Source organism: Homo sapiens, chromosome Y (genome assembly GCF_000001405.40).
Source record: "Homo sapiens chromosome Y, GRCh38.p14 Primary Assembly".
Classification (NCBI taxonomy): Eukaryota; Metazoa; Chordata; class Mammalia; order Primates; family Hominidae; genus Homo; species Homo sapiens.
Genome location: NC_000024.10, coordinates 7,456,282 through 7,468,380, shown reverse-complemented (window position 1 = coordinate 7,468,380; position 12,099 = coordinate 7,456,282). Strand labels below are relative to the sequence as shown.

Genomic DNA, 12,099 nt, shown 5'->3' with positions numbered 1-12,099 from the left:
TCATTACAGGAAGTGTGTCCAAGGAACACATAGAAGTCACTGGTCCCAACCACAGAAATATTTCTACCACAAAGAACATGGATTGAGCAATGCAGTCTCTTTGTGAAGAATGAGGATCCATTTTACACAAAAGAAAACTTAAAATAGCCAGAACCACTGTATGGATTTGCTGTGCATACACTCATTTCATCTTGGTGACCATCTACCTAAAATAATTATATGTATTCTCAAAAATTTATCATAAGCCACTGTTAGGACAATGGCTTCATTGTAGGAACCACTGTCCATTGATTCATCACTTAACTGTAGTAAAGTTGACCTTTGAACAACACAGGTTTGAACTATGTGGTCCACTTAGAAGGGGATGGGATTCTCTTCCACCTCTGACACTACCGAGTCAGCAAGACCAACCCTTCCCTTCCTCCTCAACCTCCTCAATGCGAAGACAATGACGATGCACATTTTTATGATGATCCACTTCCACTCAATGAATAGCAAATGTATTTTCTGTTCCTTATTATTTTCTTAATACATTTTCTTTTCTTTAGCTTGCTTTATTGTAAGAATACAGTATTTAATACACATAACATATAAAATATGTGCTAATCGACTGTTTATGTTATCAGGAAGGCTTCCACTCAAAAGTAGGTTATTATTAGTTCTGTTTTGGGAGAGTCAAAAGTTACAAGTGGATTTTTTTTTTTTTTTGAGCGGAGTTTCACTCTTGTTGGCCAGGCTGAAGTACAGTAACTCAATCTCTGCTCATTGCAAACTCTGCCTCCTGGGTCCAAGTGATTTGTCTGCCTCAGCCTCCTGAGTAGCTGGGATTACAGGCGCATGTCACCACTCTTGGCAAAATTTTGTATTTTTAGTAGATACAGGGTTTCACTATGTTGGCCAGGCTGGTCTTGAACTCCTGAGCCTCAGCCTCCCAAAGTGCTGGGGTTACAGGTTGTGTAACCGCAGCCTACAGGTGGATTTTTTACTGCACTGGGGGTTGGCACCCCTAACTCCCACATTGTTCAAGAGTCTACTATACATTAATGTACTCTTGGGGTGTGTTTGTGTTCTCCAACACTATGAGTGTTGGAGAAGGTATGGAATTTTTCACCTCCTCTCTCCTTCCTGTTATGGAAACAGGGATGCTGACTCCTGGGCTATTTCCCATGGTGACATCAATTAAATTGGGTCTCAACTCCAGAAAGGAGAGGAAACAGTTTAGTACATGTCAGATCGTATTGGATGACCACATCACCAGTTCAATAAAAAGCCAAATTTAGCCACGACAAAAAACTCATGAATCTCACAAAGGCAGGCATGAAAAGACTCATTGCAATGGGTTTAAGAAGAAGGTGACTTTACTGTAAATTCCCACTCACTCAAAATTCCTGTGATTGGGAAACTCATGCAGGTGAAATTTGTCTTCTGTCCTTCATCTGAAAGAACAATTACACAAATCCCAAATATCTGCTTAAAAGGTGTGTTGGAGGCATTCTACAGAACCGTTATAAGGTTGAGTAGAATTAAGTATCCAGTGCAATGGACATCTATAATGATCATTCTGAGTTGCTGTGAGATAGTGTATAGAACAATAACAAATTTGAATACAATTAAATATAAAAGTAAATATGTGCAATGGTGACTCAAGCTGGGTATAATGTAACCTTGATTTGGAAATAGCATATCTGAAATGAAAGAAACAGAAGAATGCTATGTCTCTGCTCCATCTCTTACAGCTATAACTTCTTCCTGAAGCAACTTATGGCTCTATCATGTGGTTTTCATACGAAAAATGATAAGAGCAGAATATTTGAACTTTCTTAGCTATTATGCTCAATGGATGAATGTATAGATAGATAGATAGATGATGGATAGATAGATTAGATAATTGATAGATGATAGATAGTAGATGGATAAGTAGGTAGATGATAGAGATGAGATTTTGATAGGTAGGAAAGTAGCTAGATAGAAGATAGTTGGATGAGTAGATAGATAAGTGATGGATAGATAAAGATAGAAGACATAGATGATGATAGTTAGATGATAGATGGATGTAGATGAATAGAGAGATGATAGATGAGACAGATGATAGACACATAAGATAATAGATAAGTGGATGAGATAAATGGATAGATAATAAATAGATACATAGATGGATACAGAGCGACATGAGAGTTGAATAGGTAGGGAAGTAGGTACACAGAAAGCTTGATAGATGGATGAGTAGATAGAAGACAGATGGATAAAAATGGAAGAGACAGAGATAGATACGAGATAGACAATGATAGCTAAACTAATAAATCTAATAGCTATTACATATGATATGAATTTATACTTATACTCACATACACACAGTTGAAGTTTGCATGTAGAGGAATAGTTAGATGTTAGCAATTTGTATTGAATTACAATTGTACTTCACGTATTTAAGTGTCATAAGCCAAATTCTAAATAACCTAATCCTTTTAAAATTATCAGTTCACTAGAATCCTGAGTTAAAAAGAACTTACAACCCTCCAATTCTAAATAATTTCTCAAGAGTAATGATGCAGTTGAGAGAAACCCCCAACCTCTCTGAGAGAGGAAACTTCTCCACTGCATTCCCTGGAAATAGGCACTCTTTGGGGCTCTCATTTGCCTCAAGATAATGATTTTGTTCTCTTTGTTTGCTTATAGGGGGAAACAACTATGTTATAAATCAAAGAGTTCTGGCTTTGTGCACTGCATCTGGAGATCCGACACATTTGGAATATTATTTTTGAAGTTGACCTCATTCATCTGTGTCGGCCTTGGCAGAGGCTGTGGTTAGATGCTAGTTCTGCTCACATAGATATGCCACATGGAAAAATATAAAAGTATTTTCAACAAACCAAGAAGCGGTGACCCAGATATAAAGAATGAGCATTTGTTTCCAGTGTCCCCTGGTGACTCACTTCACTCTGTCATTGGTTAGAGCTTTCCCGTTCTGAAGCACAGCCCCGGCAAACGTGGGGTTCTGGAAGGACAGAGCTTGCCTGGGAGATGATTCAGGAATCAGACAGGGGGTGGGTGTTCAGTAACTGTATCACTCTACCCTCAGCATGAGTTAGAAAAGGATTGCACTCCAGCTTCTGCTGCGGGTCTTCATTCTCTGCTGTGTGGTGTGTGTGTGTGAGAGAGAGAGAGAGACAGAGAGAGAGTCTTACTCTGTTGCTCAGGCTGCAGTGTAGTGGCAAAATAGGTCACTGCAGCTTTGACCTTTGACCTGCTAGGGTCAAGCTATCCTTCTGCCTCAGCCTCTGGATTAGCTGAGACTACAGGCACAAACCATCATACGCCTAGCTAATTGTTTTGCATTTTTTGTAGAGACACGGTTTTGTTACATTGCTAAGGCTGATCTTGAATGCCTAAGCTCAAGCAGTCTACATGCATTGGCCTCCCAAAATGCTGTGATTACAGGCATGAGTCACCACACCTGGCCACCATTCTCTGCTTTTCACTTGAGTAAATGCATTTACAAGCAAGGGTGAGCTCTGAGAAAGAAAGCTCTTGCCCAATTCCACAAACTGAAAAAGGATGAGGGATGAGTATTCAGGATACTGAGTATCTTGAATATAGTGGAACATCTGGGTTTTGGTTTTTTGTTTTTGAGACAGAGTCTCGCTCTGTTGTCCAGGCTAGAATGCAGTGATATAATCCTAGCTCACTGTAGCCTCGACCTCGTGGACTCAAGTGATCCTCCCACCTCAGCCTCCTGAGTAGATGGAACTGCAGGTGTGCAGCAGCACACCTGGCTATTTTATTTTTTTAATTTTTGTAGAGACGTGTTCTTACTATGTTGCCCAGGCTGGTCTCAAACTCCTGGGCTCAAGCTATCCTCCTGCCTTGGCTTCCCAAAATGCTGGGTTTACAGGCATAAGCCACCACTCCCAGACCTGTTTTTTTCTAATATCCTTGCCTTTGACACTCATTTGTTAGGGGAATGCATTTATTCCTTAGGGGTGCTGTAACAAATTGCCACCAATGTAGAGGCTTCCAGTAACGTGCATATTGAAACTGCCATTACTTTTGCACCAACCTAATACATACTCTCATGGTTCTGGAAGTTGGAAGTCCTGAATCAATACCACTGAGCTGAAGTCAGGGTTTCTCCACGGTTGTGCTCCCTTGGAAAGCCTGTGGGGAGGATCCTTCCTTACCTCCTCCAGCTTCTGGCAGCTCCATCGTCATCACTCTGATCCTCAAGGCCAGCCTCTCTGAATTCTCTCTGTGCTCTGTCTCACACCATCTTCTACTCTGTAGGTGTGTCAGGTCTCCTTGTGTCTTCCTCACATTAGGATCCATGTCTGGCAATTTAGGAGTCACCACTGCTCGGTTTGTTGAAAGTACTTTTATTTTTTTTCCATCTGGCATATCTAGTTGAGTGGAACCAGCATATCCCCCACAGCTTCTGCCAAGGCCAGCCCAGATAGTGAGGTCAGCCCCCCAAAAATAATTTTGTAAATGTGTCAGATCTCCAGATTCAGTGCACAAACCCACAACTCATTTATTAATCATCTAGTTATTTCCCTCTACAGGCAGGATTATCTGCCCATCTCAAGATCTGTACCTTATACACATCTTCAAAAATTATTTTTTCCAAATAAGGTTCCATTCGCAGGGTGCAGAGAGGAACAGCTGATCTGTTTGGAGAACATTATTCAGACTATGGCCGGGAATGAGTTGTCACCAATTTGGAAGGATGCATTTTTCAAAAATAATTTCAACTTTTATTTCAGATTCAGGGGATACTTGTGCAGGTTTTTTTCATGATAGCGTGATGCTGAGGTCTTGGGTACAACTGAAGCTGTCACCCACATAGTGAGCATTAGCACCCACTAAGTACTTTTTCAACCCTTGCTACCAACCCTCCCTGCCTGCTTAGTAATCCCTGGTTTCTCTTGTTGCCAGGAACGATGAATTTTTAAATTGATGTCTGTCCCAAGTATCCCTGGGAAAGACTGGGTGTATGGTTACACTGTGGTCAGCAGTGTAATGCTGTTTCTCTGCTGGAAAATAAAGAAGTGGTATTAAAACTGAAAGAGATCTTGGGAATCTTACAAAGATCTCAGCCAGGTGCTGGGAGGTCCCAGGACAGAATGGGGCCAACCCCCTACCAGCATCTCCTCCACCCTTGCTGCCTGACCAAGAGAAAATTAAATTATCTTTTACTGTAGCCAAATTCCCGTCAATTATCCTCTCTTCCATGTTTGTTCTGTTCTTCCCCCTCCTGGAAGACAGAATGAGCCTTTACTGCCTGTGAATTTTTGGCTTTCTTGCCAGCCCGGGTCCTGACCCATGGGCTGTGCTTGAGGAGCCTTTGGAGTCTTTTGCAGGAGGACAGCCATACCAGCTTGAGGTAGACCCCACTCAAGAGGCAAAAGACTCCTCAACAAGCTCATATTCAAGCACATTACAAAGTACTAACGTGTAAGGGGGGAAAAAAGCAAATCTTAGCTCTCCAAGTAGAGAAAGAATGTTTTACAGCTATTTAAACATTGGTAACAAGAAACCTTTGGCATAACTAGCTTCTCCCAAACGATCATATAAGTACTCTTACTAATGTAAGAAACATGAATAAGCATGAGAGAATTCCAACAAAACTCAAGGGGATCAACTTTTTTCTTTAACTTTTCACATCTGGAGCTTTCAAATTCTGTCAATGTAACATCTAAGAAAAATAATTGACACATGTTCAGCATATCTGTATGCAATCAAGGTGTTGCCATTAAACACCATATAATTCTTTTCATAGCTTGATAAAAATAAATTATAGCACGGGGGCATTTGAGATAGACTGTATGAATTCCTTTTGCATTAATGTTTTCTTTTTAAAAAAATATTTCCAGAGGGTTTCCCCCAATGGCATTGGAAATTCTGTTTTGTTTTGTTTTGTTTTTTAAATGATAAAGAGAGTTTAGCTTACACCCTTAGGTCTCAGTAAACTCCCTTGGTGATGGTGAGAGAAACTTTTCATCATTAACAAAAAATATATGCTGAGGTTTAGATGACATCAATCGGATTCCTATGGAATGATGGGATTTGAGAGTTCTGTGCAGTGAAAAAACAGCAACAACAAAAAAAGAGGCTTACAGTTTACTCAGAACCATAATTTACACCAAGGGAAAGAGAGAGAAGAGAATAAAAGACCATTAGTAAGAATCTCTTCTCATTATATCAGGGGACATGAGACAATGACTAATAAGAACTGAGACAGCTTATATGTATGGTGTTATTGCGATGGAATGTGTAGCATCGCCCATGGCAAGCCACATTCATCTTAGATACAAGGCTATTATCATATCCTCAGGGGAATCTTTATTTCCAGGATATTGGGTTCATTCCTCCCTCCCAAAACCCTGCTCTGCTCACCCATTTTAATCTCCCCGTTGGCCTCTTTTTTGGTCATGTCTCGACCACAGACACTACGTGACCAGGCCAACACTCATGTCCTCCTCCTCTTCCTGCTCATGATGAGGTAGCTCACTGGCATTCTCTTAGTCTCTCTCTTCTCCTTTGTTTTCAACAACTTGACATGAATCAAAGATGCCAGATAGTGCTAGATGTTTTTAGAAGAAAAAAAAAACAACATGGCAGATGTTCTCAGAATTTCCTGCCTTCACTAAGTTTTCTGCCTCTTTCCCAAAAGCTACTGTCCACTCTCTTCTTCCTGTCACTAGCAAATATCTTCACCCATGGACCACACTCTTTTTTTCCCAAGGGTCATGGCTCCAGCCAACTTCATTGCTCTGTGATGTCACCTTTGGAAACATGATTGAGATCTCATTTCCAAACCAGGAACCCATTCTGAAGAGTTTATCTTCTTCTTTGAGTTTCTGACTTGTCTCTCTCTTCCAAAATCTATCCCCCCCCTGGTTTCCATAGTGTACTCCTTCTTGCCTTTTCCTGATAGTGCTCATACTTCCCATATCTATCATATTTTATTGTTTTCTCTCCTCCACATACCCATATTTGTAAGAGTTTATACTTGGTCTCTTTCTTTTTCTCTGAGACCTCATCTACTTCTGCTCCATTAAATACATCCCATACACACATGGCTCCCCGGGTCTTTAGCCTTTCCCTGGTGAGACTCAAATTGTCATTATTCTACTGAATTTGTTTTCTTGGATGCCTCTATTTAACTCAAACTCATATTTATTAGCCCCTCACCTCATCTTAGTCAATTTTATGCTGCATCACAAATTACCACAGACTGGGTAACTTATGAAGAAAAGAAATTTATTCTTTCACAGTTCTGTAGTCTGGGAAGTCCAAAAACAAGGTACCATGGGTCAGGACTTGTTCTCCTATCCTACAGAATGGTGCCTTGAATGCTAGGCCCTCCAGACGGGAGAAAGTTTGTATCTTTGTGTGGCAAAGAAACATGGGGGTTGTGGGGGAGAGAGACAGAGAAAGAGAGAAAGAGGAGAACCCATCCCCACACATGCTTTTCTTATGGCTGCTTTAATGAACTCATGAAGTGGAGCCCTCAATGACCTAAACACCTCCCATTAGGCTCCACCTCCCAAAACTGTTGCATTGGAAGTTATGTATCCAACACATGCGTTTTGGAGGGGACAAAAACCTTCAAACCATAGCATTCCCTTCATCCCCACTGTACCACCATTACATGTCATATCTCAAGGAGTCACTATCTGTTTATCCAAGTGAGAAATCATGGCCACATTTTTTAGCTTCCATGTCCAATCATGATCTTCAGGTCAGACCTGGCAAAATGTTCACCAACTCTGTGGGTAACTTCCCTCTCCAATCTTTCCCTTTCTTCTTAGTCCCTCTGCTGTTTTCCTGGTTCAACTCATCATCTCTATGAAGGCTAAGACAGACAGGGGTAACTGCCATTCTCTCCTTTGTATTTTGTGTCATAGAACTCCCCCACCCCGCCCACCACCAAAGTTTTTGTTGGGCACATGTCTGCCCTTATAGGGATACCTTCTCCCAATCTCCCTTGCAGGTAGTGGCAGCATGTGACCAAGTATATGAATGAACTACGAGAAGAATGGACTGGCCCTCTGCTGTCTTTTTTTTTTTTTTACTTTCCTGAGTGCTAGTTCCTATAGATGTTGTTTGCTGAGCAAGTATAACATTCTTTGGATAGCAAAGACATCAGTGAGAGCTAGCTTCCCTGAAAAGACTTTCCTGTGTGTCTACTAAACTATATTGGACCTATATTTAGAAACAACATTATAGCTTATTGGAAGCTTATATCACCATCATCACCATCACCATCATCATCTCATCACCATCATCACCATCACCACCACCACCATCACCATCACCATTATCATCACTGTCATCAACTCATCATCATCAGCATCATCACCATCACCATCATCTTCACCATCACCATCATCATCACCATCACCATCACCATAATCACAGTCATCATCACCACCATGATCATCACCATCATCATGACTATCATCACCAACACCATCATCACCATCACCACCATCATCATCATGATCATCACCATCATCACCATCTAAATTTCCTACTTTATTTAGATCTCCTTGGTTTTCACCTAATATTCTCTTTCTGCTCCAGCATCTTCCAAGATCCTAAGTTACATTTTGTTATCACACATCTCTTTATGCTCCTCTTGGATGAGACAATTTCTTAGACAGTCCTTGTTTTTGATGACCTTGACAGTCTTGAGGACACAACTTGGCAGGTATTTTCTAGAATATACCTCAATTAGGCTATGTCAAGATTTTTTTTCATGTTCAGACGGCTTACAGGTTTTGGTAAAACCATGGAAGTAAAATGCCATGTTTATTTTACCATATCAAGAATGCCTTCAAGGACCTACCAGTAGGGATTATGGCAATGGACAGTAAAAGTTGTCATTGGCAGTTTCCAAATTAATGTCCTTTCCTTCTCTTTTCTTTTTGGCTTGTTCATCCTCTCATTAGCCAATACATTAAGATTGTGGTATATGTCACCACCTAGATTTAACTGCATTTGGAGAATTAAGGGAGAGCCTAATGTCATATTTTTGATGCTGTGGACTGATATCATAAGTACTAGTGAAGGCACCCATAAGGAATAAACTTTTCCCCAATGTCCAAGTTTGACTCAAATCATATTGTTTACACATTAACGTGAAGGGTAAGCCCTGAAGAATAAGAAGTCAAAGGAGAAAAAGGAGAAGGAAAAGAGAAAAAGCAGGAGAGAAGGAAGAGGAGGAAAAGAGAAGGAGGAAGAGGAGAAAGAAGAAGGAAAAAGGGAGAAAAGATAAAAATTTAAAGGTTGATCTCCCCATAATGGATTAGACACAAAACTTTGATCCACTGAAGGGTAAGTCTGGAAAGAACTGAAGCCCCAGGTGATGGCTTTCACTGCCTCTGAATCACAGCTTGCTTTGCAAAGAGAAAGGATATGAACCCAAGTAGAGATGGGACAAGTTTGTTCTCTGTTTTGACTTTTCAACACCATTCCTCCCATGAAAGCCAGCATCTCCCCACCATGCACTTGCTTCAATTCCAGGTTGATGAGTCAGTCTAAGAAAACTTCCTTCATACTTTTTACCATCAGCCCAACAATTGGCAGATTATCTACTGTTATTCATTCAACATTTATCTTATCAGCAAGTCTCCTACCTGCCTTCCTCCTACCTTGCACAATATTGAACCTCTGCATTTCTCTTTGCCAGTTACATTTTGATTTTCCAGCAAGATCCATACACCCAGGCATTGATGTGAGTTGTCAGCAGGTAGAGGCAGCAGAGTGAATTCTAACTGAGGAGCCCCAGAGCTTTCTGAAACTGAGTCCCTTTGCTTGCCAAAATCCTCTCATATCCTGTTTTGCATGCCATGTGTTACACACTGCAATTTCCATCCAGTGGAGATACAGCTGCTTTTATCAGTTGCAAACCAGCTAAATACACAGAGCCCCAGCTTCTGCAGAAATTGGCTAAGATGCAAGTTAAACTGTCCCAATTTGCTAGCGAATATACAAAAGGAAAAAGTCTTTTCAGCTTGGCAAGTTAGGTGCAAAATATGTCATTTTCTTATTCACATAATTGTTTGGCATGATCAAGTGGAAAAATGTAACTATTTTTAAGGTACTCTTTTTCCATGTGATGGTGATTCTTTCAGGGTATATATCAGAAAGATCCTTTTTAAAAAATTTTTTAAATAGGTAGTTAAGATTTTTTTCCCCTCTCTCAGATCTACTGAAAAAGAATAGGGTGCATGAATTTTGATAATGTTCTCCCTGGGATTTTTATTTATAATCCTGGATAAGAACTCTCCTTGAAAGAAGTGGGGTGACAGGGTTAAGGGATTCTTCCAACACTGAAGTTTAGGATTCTATGAAGCTTTAAATTTGGATGGAGTGAAAAAAAAAACCAGATATCCATTAATGTTAATAAACAGCTGCATGTTAGGAAAGCAGATACACTCATAAACTAAAATATCTCTTTATTTTTGTTTCCTGGCATGAGTACTTTCACCTCAGAAACAGTCTCCATGGAAGCAGCCAACATGTAGTCCCTACTGTGTTTATCCAGCCCACTTCCTCCTCCTATTCTCCAAATACCTTTTGCATTAGTCTCCTCAACCCACTAAGTGATTTCTGCTCATCTCTCTTTCTGCTCAACTTCAAAAAACAACGTTTTGTATTGGGTCATTTTGATCAGGGAACCTGTAAAGACCTTATGGTCTTACAGTACCTGTTTGACATCATTGCTATCATCACACAGCCATGATGTTTCTGTAGATGAGTATCTATAGCTATAGATACAGCTATAGATGACCAATCAATGAGCTCGCCGCTCAATCCACATAGAGACTAATACTATGACACTGGCTTTTGACAAAAGAAAAGCTTTATTGTGAGTCAGCTGGCAAAGAGACTGGAGGTAATGCTCAAATCTTGTCTGTGAGCTGAGCTTCAGGTCAGGCTTTATAAGCACATGGTAATTAGACAAGATCTAATTGGACTTTGCAATGAAGTGATGCCACAAGGCATGTTCTGATTGGATCTTGCCATGGGATGATGCCAGGAGGCACGATCTAATTGGATCTTGCCATAGGGTGATCCCAGGGTTCAATCTGATTGGATCCTGAATCATGAAATGTGGTGTCTGCTTCTTAATTCAGTCCCTACTTCTCAATTAGGATTATCTCAAGTTGCATGCTAGGTTCATCCTGGCACATTCAAGTTACATGATCTTCAGTGTGAGGGTTCATGGCAACTGAAGAACAAATCACAATTTTGTTACATGAAAGTTAAGCCAGATTTGTCTGATGCAGTTTATATATATATATAAAATAATATGTACAGACACACACACATATATATACATATGTGTGTATATATATATATACTATATACACATATAGTTTCAGGTTACTTAATTGGTCACCTCTTAGGTTTCATTTTTTTTTAGTTCACAAACCATAAAATACGATAAACTCTGTAAGGATGTCCATTGACACCGCACCCGGCCGACTTCTTTTAACAAGTTAGATATATTATGCAATATTCCATCTATTATTTTTAGCGGAACAAAAGAATGATGGACTTTAAAAAAAATCATTTTAGGCTGGGCATGGTGGCTCACACCTGTAATCCCAGCACTTTGGGATGGCAAGGTGGGAGGATTGCTTGAGCCCAGGAGTTCAAGACCAGCCTGGGCAACATAGCCAGGCTTCATTTCAAAAACATAAAATAAAATAAAAAATAAAAATTTTAAAAAATCTTTATAATTCTATCCTGAAAAGATAAACATCAAACCCAGCATATTATGAGTAAGTCACCTATTAAACAACTTAGTACAGTGTCAGTTAAATGGTTTATACTGAGACAATCTAATTACAGTTCAAGTTTGCTTTCTTATGTTGGGTTGTTTCAAAATAAAGACACTTTTGCATAAAACATTGAGGTAATTACAGTTAATCTGAATTTATCATCTTTGATTTTGCTTGTAGATAAAAATCATGTTTATTTCTGTTAATTTCTGTAAACCTCAGTCTATAAACAAAGACGATACCTTCAAGATACCCACCTGTGAATTAAAATTATTTGCTTTAACAAGACTAAGCAGAAGAACTTAGC

General features: G+C 39.8%; 1 long non-coding RNA gene across 1 annotated transcript in view; it reads right to left on the bottom strand.

Moving 5' to 3' along the window:
* LOC107987338 (uncharacterized) overlaps positions 1-9,767 on the bottom strand; it is a 61,978-nt gene extending 52,211 nt beyond the window's left edge. The window contains exon 1 of the long non-coding RNA XR_001756055.2: positions 9,654-9,767. This is a non-coding gene — a long non-coding RNA (uncharacterized LOC107987338). The remainder of the gene's footprint in view (positions 1-9,653) is intronic.
* Between the last annotated feature and the right edge of the window lie 2,332 nt (positions 9,768-12,099).